The following is a 13,900-nucleotide window of genomic DNA, read 5'->3' on the forward strand; positions in this document are numbered from 1 at the left end:
AGCTAGATGATTGAGAGTTGGTTTATGGATCAGAGAGATTGATTTACCAGTGGTTCAGTAATTGAATAGTAAATTGATTCAATGTGACATTGCTGATTGCAGTGGCAGAAGATTACATACAATTTGCCAAATGAACAACAAAAATCATCTGACACATTTTTCAGTTTCTCTTTTTTATTTTTCTGTATTAATTACTATAACTAATTTTAAAGAAATCGAGCCCTTTATTTAGCAGAGGTGGAAGGGAATGAGAGGTCAGTATTAACTAGGCACCTATCCTGTGCAGTCATGCTAGGCTCTTACTGAGTTCTTCCAATAACCCCAGGAAGTAGGTGTAATATTATTTACAAATGAAAAAACTCAGATTTAGAAGGGTAAAGTTAACTTTCTAAGACATACGAGAGGAGTTGAAATTAGATGTGAATCTAGAATCGCTCCCCTTTCTTTTACTATCCCACAACCAGATCAATTTCCCTACTGATGCAAATTTAGACAGCATGTTGGGTTTCAATTAATAAATGGAATGTATTCTAAAACTTGAAAAGCTTGTCAAATAGTAAACCTGAGATGCAGGGCTTTCCAGTGCACAATGTACAGTAAGAGTAACAATACACTAGTGATATTAGAAAGATGAAACAGGTTGCATGTTATTCTCTAGAACTGCCATGAGCCTAAAGCCATCCAAAGCATATAGAAACCACCAGGTATATCTTCCTTAGGTTCTGGAGTGACATCAGAGGGAATGACAGAGTGAAGACTTTTGAAAATATACTCTTTCATTAGAACACTGAAAACACTGACAAAAATTGTCAAAATCAATTTCTTTGGAACACTGTACAATAACAAACGTTTTGCAGCAAGTCCAGGAGCATTTATTCGAGAAAAATGGCTGAATCTTGGTAAGAACAGTGAACTTTGTGACAATTTATCTTGTCCTATTCTCATCCCCATCTTTTTAGGTCCACAGTAATCTTGAAAACCAACTACTCTGTATCATGGCGAACGAACAGCCTAGTAGCCACTGTAGAAAACCAAATGGGTTTAGAGCTCCCCAAAGCACCATTCACAGAGAATTCTCATTATTTGACCTGTCTGGCAGTTCCCTGGAAACCTCCACTCACAGGACTTGTCTTTATCTGATCTGACTCAGAACTCAGTGCAAAAAGTCTTTTCCCTCAGGGCATTGGTCAAAAACAATCAGTAACAATTATTTAACATTACAGTTGCTATGGTAATGATAACAACTAGAGCAAACCAGAAGCTGAACAAAAAACCCGAAAAGAGAATCTGGGGGCTGGGTGCGGTGGCTCACGCCTGTAATCTCAGCACTTTGGGAGGCTGAGGCAGGTGGATCACCTGAGGTCAGGAGTTCAAAGCAAGCTTGGCCAACATGGTGAAACTCCATCTCTACTAAAAATACAAAAATTAGCCAGGCATGGTGGCACATGCCTGTAATCCCAGCTACTCGGGAGGCTGAGGCAGGAGAATCACTTGAACCCAGGAGGTGGAGGTTGCAGTGAGCCGAGAGTGCACCACTGCACTCCAGCCTGGGCAAAAGAGCGAGACTCCAAAAGCTGAGGTATAAGATATCCACAGGGGGCTTTGGAAAACTCTTTAACACATTCCTTGGAATCTACAAGTCCTTGAGCATGTGCAAAGTTGTGCACTTGCCCAGAAAATGCCTGAAAGTCCCTATATTCTCATTTCTGTCAGACCCTGAGGCCCTTCACAAGCAGAAAGTAAAGGCTAAGGCAGAGTTGTGAAAATCCTGCCTGAGCATTGAAGGCAGGCCCCCCCACACAGTCTCTCAGGAAAGGCTGCGAGACTTATTGGTTCCTGGAATTTGAGGAACTCTGTGTCCAGTAATCAGCTGACTACTAAGCTAACTGAACAGATTTCAGTGCCACACCCTTGAAAAGGAATACTGACTTGGCTGGGTGCAGTGGTTCATGCCTGTAGTCTCAGGTCTTTGGGAGGCCAGGCATTTGAGACCAGGCTGGAAAACACAGTGGGACCTATCTCTACAACAATTTAAAAAGAAAAAGGAAAGAGACTCAGCTGGGAGCAGTGGCTCACGCCTGTAATCCTAGCACTTTGGGAGACCGAGGCAGGTGGATCACCTTAGGTCAGGAGTTTGAGATCAGCCTGGCCAACACGGTGAAACCCTGTCTCCACTAAAAACACAAAAATTGGCTGGGCGTGGTGGCGGGTGCCTGTAATCCCAGCTACTTGGGAGGCTGAAGCAGGAGAATCTCTTGAACCTGGGAGGCGGAGGGTTGCAGTTTGCCAAGATCACGCCATTGTACTCCAGCCTGAGCAACGAAGCCAGACTCCATCTCCAAAAAAAAAAAAAAGGAAACAGACAAAAAGGCATAAGAATGATATAATGGACTTTGGGGACTCAGGGGTAAGGGTGAGAGGGGAATGAGGGATAAAAGACTGCACACTGGGTATAGTGTACACTGCTCGGGCGATGAGTCCACCAAAATCTCAGAAATCACCACTAAAGAACTTATCCATGTTATAGTCTTGCCAATGCACCACAATGTAGCAGTCTCTCCTTGCCTGAGGTAGTACCCAGAGTCCTTTGTCTCACAACCAAGAAAGTTAAGGAGCACGGACACCAAGGATGAGGTTAGAACAAAAGTTTAATAAGGGAAAGAAGAAAGCTGTCTTCTGCGGAGAGGGGACCTGAAGAGGGTTGCCATTTTTTACAGCTGAATGCAAAGGCTTTTATAAGAAACCAGTGAGGGCTGGGCATCTCATTTGTATAAGGCGTGAATTTCTGGTAGCTTACCCCATCCTCCTAGTGCGCATGTGAGCCCTTAGCTTGAGTTACTCCATATTGCTTTGTTCCCCTTACTAAGCAAGTGTCAGAGGATGGAATTTTCCATTGCGAGTATGTCTGGGCAAGTCACCTGGGTAACCTTTCTTATCTGTGAGACTGTGGGCATGTATTAGGCAAGCCCCCTTGTGCAAGTTCCCTTACCTGTGCCTGCAGGCTGTTCTTTTGTTTGAAAGGATTCAACCGAGGACCCACCCTAACTGCCTGCCTGACTGGGTTTTTTTCTTTCTCCTCTCTCATAACCAAACACCATCTGTTCCCCAAAAACCTATAGAAATAAAAATAAATAATAATTTAAAGAAGAAAATAAAAGAAAAAAACTAGCTGGATGTGGTGGTGCATGCCTATAGTCCTAACCACTCAGGAGGCTGAGGCAGGAGGATTGTTTGAACCCAGGAATTGAAGGCTGCAATGAGCTAGGATTGATTGCATCACCGTGCTTCAGCCTGGAAGACCAAGAAAGACCTTGTCTTTAAAAAAAAAAAAAATACAAACTTTACAAAATGGGTTCAGGAAGTCACTAAACAAACAAAGAAACAGCAGCAGTAAAACTCCTGGGGAAAGAAGGGAATCCAATTTCAATTATTGCCATGTTATATTATTTTGAATCCCCAGTTTCCAACAAAAAATTACACAACATGCAAAGAACAAGAAAGTGTGTCCCAGGCACTGGGAGAAAACAGTCAATAGAAACTCCCTGAGGAAGCCTAGACTTTGTACTTACTAAACTTTAAGTAAGATATTTAAAATATCTTTACGGCAAGCATGGTGGCTCATGCCTGTAATCCCAGTACTTTGGGAGGCCGAGGTGGGCAGATCACCTGAGGTCAGGAGTTCGAGATCAGCCTGGCCAATATGGTGAAACCCAGTCTCTATTAAAAATACAAACATTAGCCAGCGTGGTGGTGGGCGCCTGTAGTTCCAGCTACTCAGGAAGCTGAGGCAGGAGAATTGCTTGAACCCGGGAGGCGGAGGTTGCAGTGAGCCGAGATCACGCCATTGCACTTCAGCCTGGGCAACAGAGCGAGACTCCGTCTCAATCAATCAATCAATAAATAATAAATTACCTAGGTGTGGTGATGCATGCCTGTACTCCCAGCTACTCAGAAGGCTGAGGTGGGAGGATCACTTGAGCTCAGAAGTACAAGGCTGCAGTGAGCCATGTTCATACCACTGCATTTCAGCCTGGGTGACAGGACAGGAGCCTGTCTCACAAAAAAAAAGAAAAAAAAAAAAAGAAGAGTTAAAGAAAAGCATGAGAAAGATATCTCAGCAAATCTCAATGAAAACATGAAGAAATAGAAATACTTATTTCTCTACATATAACCAAATAGAAATTTTGGAGTTGAAAGTATAACTGAAATGAAAAACTCTCTAGAGGTGCTCAACAGTAACCTCTAGTTTGCTATACCCGTTCGTTACAAAAGCTTGAGGCCAGGTGCGGTGGCTCATGCCTGTAATCCCAGCTCTTTGGAGGCCAAGGTGGGCAGATCACTTGAGGAGTTGGAGACCAGCCTGGCCAACATGGTGAAACCCGTCTCTACTAAAAATACAAAAATTAGCCAGGCATGGTAGCACGCGCCTGTAATTCCAGCTACTTGAGAGGCTGAGACATGAGAATGTCTTGAACCTGGGAGGTGGAGAGGTGGAGATTTTGGTGAGCCGAGATGGTGCCACTACACCCAGCCTGGGTGATTATGACTCTGTCTCAACAACAACGATAAAAAAAGCTTGGGAGTGTGTTTGGGAAGAGACTGCTATATTATCATTGACATCATTAGTTATCTCTGCCTTTTCCTTTCTGGAATGTTTGAGCAGAAAAGACCTGGATAGACCCGGCATGGTGGCTCATGCCTGTAATCCCAGCACTTTGGGAGGCTGAGGCGGGTGGATTACCTGAGGTTGGGAGTTCGAGACCAGCCTGACCAACATGGAGAAATCCCGTCTCTACTAAAAATACAAAATTAGCCGGGTGTGGTGGCGCATACCTGTAATCCCAGCTACTCGGGAGCCTGAGGCAGGAGAATTGCTTGAACCCAGGAGGCGGAGGCTGTGGTGAGGCGAGATTGCGCCATTGCACTCCAGCACTCCAGCCTGGACAATAAGAGTGAAACTCTGTCTCAAAAAAACAAAAGTCCCTGATAACTCAGTTTGTCTTGACCTCTCATTTAATAGGTAAGAGAACCAGATAGCTTATGAGATCTTGCTAAACTCCTCACCTTAGCTCCCAATGTAATTTATGATGTCTTGATGTAATGCCTTGAGACCTACAAATTAACATAACCAAGAATTTAAAGTAGATATGTTGCAGGGATGGAGGAGTGACTATAAATCTCATCTATTCCCATTTGAGCTAGCTCCATTCTCCTCCAGTGTTTCAAGAAATACCTTCAGGGAACCGCTGCTTTCTTTCTCCCACAATCTGTAGTTCTCTTGCTTTCCAACTTGGGCCCGGCAGGATCGCTCTTGCAAAGAAGGATGGCAAGAAGAAGAGCCTTTCTGCCATCAGCATTCACAAGCGCATCCATGGTGTGGGCTTCAAGAAGTGTGCCCCTCGGGCACTCGAAGAGATCCAAAAATGTGCCATGAAGGAGATGGGCACTCCAGATGTGCACATTGATACTAGGCTCAACAAAGCTGTTTGGGCCAAAGGAATAAGGATTGTCCCATACCGTATCCCTGTGTGGTTGTCCAGAAAACGTAACGAGGATGAAAATTCAACAAACAAGCTCTATACTTTGGTTACCCATGTACGTGTTACCGTTTTCAAAAATCTACAGTCAATGTGGATGAGAACTAACCACTGATTGTCGAATACATCAAATGAACTTATAAAACAAACAAACAGAAATGCTTTCTATTTCTCAACCTATGCTTTTTTTTTTTTTTTCTTTTTTGACAGTGTCTCACTCTGTGGCTCAGGCTGGAGTGCAGCAGTGGCACAATCTCGGTTCACTGAAACCCTGCCTCCCAGGTTCAAGTGATCCTCCCACCTCAGCCCCCAACTAGCTGGGACTAAAGGCGCATGCCACCACACCTGGCTAATTTTTTTTTTTTTTTTTTGTATTTTTAGTAAAGACAGGGTTTTACCATGTTGCCCAGGCTGGTCTTGAACTCCTGAGGTCAAGCAATCTGCCCACCTCAGCTTCCCAAAGTGCTGGGATTACAGGTGTGAGCCACTTTGCCTGGCCTAAAAATGCTTCATTTTTTTTGTTTGTTTGAGACGGAGTCTCACTGTGTTGCCCAGGCTGGAGTACAGTGGTGCAATCTCAGCTCACTGCAACCTCCACCTCCCGGGTTTAAGAGATTCTCCTGCTTCAGCCTCCTGAGTAGCTGGGCTCACAGGCGCCTGCCACCACACCCGGCTAATTTTTTGTATTTTTAGTAGAGACAGGGTTTCACCATGTTGACCAGGCTGGTCTCAAACTCCTGACCTCAGGTGATCCACCCGCCTCAGCCTCCCAAAGTGCTGGGATTACAGGCATGAGCCACTGCACCCGGCCGTAAAAACACTTTCTTTACTGAAACAGTGGCATTGCTGCTTTGATAGACTGTTATGATCACATGGATTGGATTTGGGCCACATACACAAATGCTTGTACAAGCATTTGTACTAAGCAAGTGCTTAGTACAAATTTATTTCAATGAATATTGATTAAATTAGTAGTCCTTTCCTCAGCTTCTTTCTTGCTGCCATTTCTTTGCATTTAAGGGGTAGGAAGTAGGAGGAACAGAGAGACAGTTCTTTCCCACAGGTAGGCAGTAACATGGCATCATCACTGCTATCCCGGGTCTCCTTTCCATTTCAGAAAATCCAAAAACTCATTTTACAGAATTGATCAAATTATTGAGTCCTTGAGCAATTTGAATAGCACACAAGCCATATCTTAATTTTTGTTTTGTTTTGTTTGTTTGTATTTTTGAGACCGAGTTCCATTCTGGTAGCCCAGGCTGGAGTGCAATGGTGTGATCTCAGCTCACTGCAACCTCTGCCTCTGGGTTCAAGCAATTCTCCTGCCTCAGCCTCCCAAGTAGCTGAGATTACAGGCAACTGCCACCATGCCCAGCTAATTTTTGTATTTTTTTTTTTTTTTTTTTTAGAGACAGGGTTTCACCATGTTGGCCAGGCTGGTCTTAAACTCCTGACCTCAGGTGATCCACCCACTTTGGCCTCCCAAAGTGTTGGGATTACAGGTGTGGGCCACCACACTGGGTCCATACCTTTGTATTCTGATCACTTGATTATCTTTCTAGCTCTACTACCTTTCATTCTTCCTACTTTACACTTTATGCAAAAGCTAAGAAAAACTACTTGAAATTTCCTGAATGCACCTGAAAATAATGCAACCACTCTTTGCATTGATTTTATATAAAAAATGAAGATGGCCGGGTGTGGTGGCTCATGCCTGTAATCCCAACACTTTGGGAGGCTGAGGCAAGCGGATCATTTAAGGTAAGGAGTTCAAGACCAGCCTGGTCAACATGGTGAAACCCCATCTCTACTAAAAATACAAAAATTACCCAGGCATGGTGGCAGGTGCCTGTAATCCCAGCTACCTGGGAGGCTGAGGCAGGAGAATCTCTTGAACCTGGGAGGCGAAGATTGCAGTGAGCCAAGATTTCGCCACTGCACTCCAGCCTGGGCAATAGAGGTATACTCAGTCTCCAAAAAAAAAAAAAAAAAAAAAGGCCAGGCACGGTGGCTCATGCCTATAATCCCAACACATTGGGAGGCTGAGGTGGGCAGATCACTTGAGGTCGTAGTTCGAGACCGGCCTGGACAACATGGTGAAACCCTGTCTCTACTAAAAATACAAAAATTACCCGGGCATGGTAGCACGCGCCTGTAGTCCCAGCTACTCAGGAAGCTGAGGCAGGAGAATCGCTTGAACATGGGAGGCTAAGGTTGCAGTGAGCCAAGATCGTGCCACTGCACTCCAGCCTGGGCAACAGAGTGAGACTCCATCTCAAAAAAAAAAAAAAATGGAGATAAGAATATGTGACAAAAATAGCTAATTGTCTCCCATTATCTGTTCTTCCCTTTCACAGGTATAGAATGCCAAATTTTTCGGTGGAGACGTGATACCCAGAATAAATACTATATTTCCCAGAGAATTTTGCTGCTAATTGTGGTTAGGAGACTGTGTTGGGCTAATGGGATGGATGTGGACTAAGAAACTGCATAATATGATAGTTGTAAAGTTCCTTTGGATTTCTTCTGTGCTATCTGGAGTGTGGATGTGATGGCTGGAGCACTAGCCAATGTCCTGGACCATAAAGGATGAAGGCCACACCTTGCTTTTGGAATAGTTGGATAAAGAAGTCTAGGATCCTGAGGTCTTTGTAGAGACAGAAATAAATTGCTTGGTTGTTTAAACCACTGTTATTTTATTTTATTTATAATTTTTTTAAGACAGAGTCTGGCTTTGTTGCCCAGGCTGGAGTTCAGTGGCACGATCTCACCTCACTGCAGCCCAACTTCCGCCTCCTGGGTTCAAGTGATTCTCCTGCCTCAGCCTCCCAGGTAGCTGGGACTTCAGTAGGTGTGCACTATCATGCCTGGCTAATTTTTGTATTGTTAGAAGAGACAGGGTTTCACTATGTTGGCCAGGCTGGTCTCAAACTCCTGACCTCGAGTAATCCGCTTGACTTGGCCTCCCGAGTCCTGGGATTACAGGTGTGAGCCACTGTGCCCAGCCTCACTGTTATTTTAGGTCTCTGCTCCAAGCAGTGGAAACTGCTTGCTTTGTAAAAGCTGTTCCCTCTGCCTGACAGTTTGCTTGAAGTATTGGTCTAGGTTGCCTAGAGAAACAGAACTAATAGGATGGATGGATGGGAAAATAGATAGGTAGACAGACAGACAGATAGATGAGAGGGGATTTATTAGGAGAATTGGCTCATGCAGTTATGGAAGCTGAGGCCTCACGACATGCTGTCGAAAGGCGGAGGACCAGGGAAGCAGGTAGGGTGGCTCAGTCCAAGTCCAGAGACTTGAGAACCAGGGGAGTCAATGGTGTAACTCTCAGTCCAAGGCCAAAGACCTGAGAACATAGGGGTCTGCTGGTGCAAGTTCTACAGTCCAAAGACTGGACAACATGGGGTTCTGATGTGCAAGGCAAGAAAAGATGGGTGTTTCCGTTGAAGGGGAAGAGGGGGAGTTCTTTCCTCTGCCTTTTTGTTCGATCTGGGTCCTCAGTTGATTGGATGGCGCCTGCACACATTGGGTGAGGGCAGATCTTCCTTACTCCGTCCACTCATTCAAATGCCAATCTCTTCCAGAAACATCCTTGGAGACATACCCAGAAATAATGCTTTACCCGCTATGTGGGTATCCCCTTAATCCAGTCAAGCTGACACCTAAATTAGCCGTCACACTCAACAAACTTCTATTTATCTTTCAAGACTGAGATCAATCCATTTCCTCCTCTGTGGAACTTCTGATCTCCACCTGGGGATTTAATTCTTCTTTGGCTTCATACCAGTTCTTAATCTTTTGCATAGTTTTATAGCAAGCTGCACATTTCCGTTTATAAATTTGTCTCCCTACTAAAACAGTCTCTCACTTAAAAAATAATTGGAATTTTTGTTTTCTTTGAGACAGAGTTTCACTTCTGTTGCCCAGGCTGGAGTGCAATGGCACGATCTCGGCTCAACCTCCACCTCCCAAGTAGTTCAAGTGATTCTCCTGCCTCAGCCTCCCAAGTAGCTGGGATTACAGGCGCCCACCACCACGCCCAGCTAATTTTTTGTATTTTTAGTAGAGATGGGAGTTCACCATGTTGGCCAGGCTGGTCTTGAACTCCTGACTCCTGACTTCAGGTGATCCACCCGCCTCAGCCTTCCAAAGTGCTGGGATTACAGGCGTGAGCCACCGTGCCCGGCCTGAGATCTCTTTGAATAAACATAAAAAATCTCATGGCTCATGCAGATTCTGAAACTGCCCACCAAATCTATTGCAATATTGAATATGCCAATCCTGCAAGCCACCACTACCTATCCAAAGATTCTGATTTACTTTTTTTTCTTTTTTTGAGACATGGTCTTGTTCTGTTGCCCAGGCTGGAGTGCAGTGGCATGATCTGATCTCGCTGCAACCTCTGTCTCCCAGGTTCAAGCGATTCTCCTGCCTCAGCCTGACATGCAGCTCGGACTACAGGCATGCACCACCACACCCTGCTAATTTTTTTTTGTTTTAGTAGAGACAGGATTTCGACATGTTGCCCAGGCTGGTCTGGAATTCCTGGGCTCAAGCGATCCACCCACCTTGGCCTCCCAAAGCGCTGGGATTACAGGTGTGAGCCACTAGGCCCGGCATTGATGTATATTCTTTGAGGCGGAATTTCGCTCTTCTCACCCAGGCTGGAGTGCAGTGGTGCGATCTTGGCTCACTGCAACTTCCACCTCCTGGGTTCAAGGGATTCTCCTGCCTCAGCCTCCTGAGTAGCTGGAATTACAGGTGCCTGCCACCATGCCCAGCTAATTTTTTATATTTTTAGTAGAGACGGGGTTTCGCCATGTTGGGCAAGCTGGTCTCAAACTCCTGACCTCAGGTGATCCACCTGCCTTGGCCTCCCAAAGTGCTGGGATTACAGGAGTGAGTCACCACACCCAGCACTGATGTACTTTTTAGGATAAGAATAACCTTCCTCTCCTCTCCTGGTCCACTCAATTGATCCATTGAATAAATACCTATTTGGTTGGGCACTGAGGTAGATGCTGGGGAGAAGAGGTTTGGGTTCTGCCCTCAAAGAGCCTGCAATGTGCTAGGTGAGACAGATCCTCAAATAATAATATGACATACGGAGAAGAGAAGTAGGAGAGATGAGGAAATAATTCATTCTGTTCTCAGGCACAGGTTATGATGATGCCTGGACTACATTCTGAAAGAATAATACTTTACCCAATGGACTGGGGAAAGGGGAGAAAAGGGTAACAGAAGATATAATGGGCAGAAGGAATAACATGTGTGAAGGCGCAGAGGCATAAAATACGTGATTAATTTTAGTCATGAGCATTGCACTCAGGTCTTACGAAGTTTCCCTGCAAACACATTCACAGAACATTTCTTAGGGTGAGTTACCTCTACAGATGGTGCATCTCGTCGATTATGTCTTGATTTATCACTGTTTTAATTCTGAGGACAATGTTTCCCTGAGCCTGTTCCCTAGACTCCATACCACTTGGTAATGACTGAAGCTGTTAATTATACTGTTCCTGGAAAAAATTTTCCCTAGTGCCAGTTCAAGGCCCCACCATTGACTCATCCTGCAGTTATGTACATTCAGGAGCTCTTCCTTCTAAAGGCTTATTCTTTTTGCTGATATTCGGAACACTTGTAAGACTGTATTGTAAAAACTTCCTGGTTAGTTTTTAGCTACTTGTTTTTAGTTAACAGCAGGTTTGTCAGTTTCCTGTCGTCTGTCTTTATTTTTTGTATGTGAATATATGTTCCTTTTTTTTACATTGCATCATATATATGTATATGTATATATATATATATATATATATATATATATATATATATATATATATGTATATGTATATGTATGTATGTATTTTTTTTTTTTGAGATGGAGTTTCACTCCTGTTGCCCAGGCTGGAGTGGCACAATCTCAGCTCACCACAAACTCTGCCTCCCAGTTTCGAGCGATTCTCCTGCCTCAGCCTCCCGAGTAGCTGGGATTATAGGCATGTGTCACCATGCCCAGCTAATTTTATATTTTTAGTAGAGACAGGGTTTCTCCATGTTGGTCAGGCTGGTCTCGAACTCCTGACCTCAGGTGATCCACCTGCCTCAGCCTCCCAAAGTGCTGGGATTACAGGCATGAGCCACCACACCCGGCCATTGCATCATATATTGTGCAGGAAATATTTAAAAGTAAAATTTTGGGGCCAGGTGCAGTGGCTCCTGCCTGTAATCCTAGGACTTTGTGAGGCTAAGGTGGGTGGATCACCTGCGGTTGGGAGTTCGAGACCAGCCTGGCCAACAAGGCAAAACCCTGTCTCTACTAAAATTAGCTGGGTGTGGTGGTGCATGCCTGTAATTCCAGCTACTTGGGAGGCTGAGGCATGAGAATCACTTGAACCCAGGAGGTGGAGGTTGCAGTGAGCAAAGATCATGCCTCTGTATTCCAGACTGGGAAACAGAGCAAGACTCCATCTCAAAAAAATAAAAAGAAAAAAGAAAAGTAAAATTTTTAGAGCAATTTCAATCTTTATATTGTGGTAAACAATTTATTTCTTTTTCAACTTATATTTTAGAATTGGGGGTACATCTGCAGGTTGTTACAAAGGTATTTTGCATGGTACTGAGGTTTGGGGTATGACTGAACCCATCATCCAGGCAGTGAGCATCATAGCCAACAGGTAGTTTTTCAGCACTTGCCCCACTCCTTCTCTCCCTTCTCTAGTAGTCCCCAGTGCCTACTGTTCCCATCTTGTGTTCATGCGGACTCAGTGTTTAGCTCCCACTTATAAGAGAACAGGCAATATTTGGTTTTCTGTTTCTTTCTTTCTTTTTTTTTTTTGAGACGGAGTTTCACTCTTGTTGGCCGGGCTGGAGTGCAGTGGCACAGTCTCGGCTCACTGCAACCTCTGCCTCCCAGGTTCAAGAGATTCTCCTGCCTCAGCCTGCCGAGTAGCTGGGACTATAGGTGTCCGCCACCATGCCTGGCTAATTTTTGTATTTTTAGTAGAGATGGGGTTTCGCAATGTTGGTCAGGCTGGCCTCAAACTCCTGACCTCAAGTGATCCATCCACTTCAGCCTCCCAAAGTGCTGGGATTACAGGCGTGAGCCATCACGCCTGGCCTCTGTTTCTGTCTTAATTGGCTTAGGATAATGGCCTTTAGTTCTATCCATGTTGCTGTAAAGGACATGATTTCATTCTTTTTCTATGGCTGCATAGTATTCCATGATGTACATGTACCACATTTTCTTTATCCAGTGCACCACTGATGGACACCTGGGTTGATTCCATGTTTTTGCTATTGTGAACAGAGCTGTCATGAACATATGAGTCCTTTTGGTAGAAAAATTTATTTTCCTCTGGGTATATAACCAGAAGTGGTATTGCTGGGTTGAATGGTAGTTCATCACTTAGTTCTTTTTTTTTTTTTTTTTAGACGGAGTCTCCCTCTGTTGCCAGGCTGGAGTGCAGTGGCATAATCTCAGCTCACTGCAACCTCCACTTCCCGGATTCAAGTGATTCTCCTGCCTCAGCCTCCCGAGTAGCTGGGACTACAGGCGTGCACCATCACACCTGGCTAATTTTTGTATTTTTAGTAGAGACGTGGTTTCACCATATTGGCCAGGCTGGCCTCTATCTCCTGATCTCGTGATCCACCCGCCTCAGCCTCCCAAAGTGCTGGGATTACAGGCATGAGCCACCGTGCCTGGCTCATAACTTAGCTCTTTCAGAAATCTTCAAACTGCTCTCCACAGTGGCTAGACTAATTTATATTCAGTGTATAAGTGTATAAGAGTCTTCAATAAATAATGTTGAATGAATGAATTTATAAAACTGTGTATACACTTATACACAGTGTATAAGTGGCTGGATAGAGCTGCAACACTCTGCCTGGTAATTCCTTTTAAAGTTGGATTGAGTTTTCTGTAAGCCTGGATGGCTATTCTGGATCTGAATGCCACCTGTAGGCACCTGGAAGTGCTATTTTCTCTCAGTTTCCATTGCTCTTTACTCACTCTTCTGCAGTTACATGTATGACATGCTGTAGATTTTTATTTCCATTTCTGACGGTTCCCTAGTGTATGTAGCCATCAACCATTACCATCATTAGCATTGACCAAAGCCAAATAATTGAATTAATAAGAAGTAAGTGTCCCATCTTGTCAATATGGATGTTTTTTTTTCTAACAGGAGCCTCATTACTTGGCCATGACTGATAAGGACCGAGTTAGAGTGCTGAACCTTGACATTAATCTGGCCATGCAAATGTATTCATTAATAGATGCTTAATTAATTGTTCCTTTTAGATTAGGATTGCTTGTTTTTTGCAGCAGTGTGGTCCTTTTGCTTCTCTTTGCTGCTGCATCT

At 44.4% G+C, this 13,900-nt stretch overlaps 1 pseudogene, besides 1 other annotated feature; it reads left to right on the plus strand.

The window, feature by feature from the left end:
• Positions 1,089 to 1,911: an enhancer, noted in NCBI's record as "H3K27ac-H3K4me1 hESC enhancer chr14:64030470-64031292 (GRCh37/hg19 assembly coordinates)". NCBI's record gives its function as "activates a minimal SCP1, AML or CMV promoter by ChIP-STARR-seq in primed H9 embryonic stem cells {active_cell/tissue: H9 hESC(primed)}" and the evidence as "EXISTENCE:reporter gene assay evidence [ECO:0000049][PMID:30033119]".
• On the plus strand, positions 5,249 to 5,617 carry RPL31P5 (ribosomal protein L31 pseudogene 5; annotated as a pseudogene).

This window comes from Homo sapiens, chromosome 14 (assembly GCF_000001405.40).
Source record: "Homo sapiens chromosome 14, GRCh38.p14 Primary Assembly".
Taxonomy (NCBI): Eukaryota; Metazoa; Chordata; class Mammalia; order Primates; family Hominidae; genus Homo; species Homo sapiens.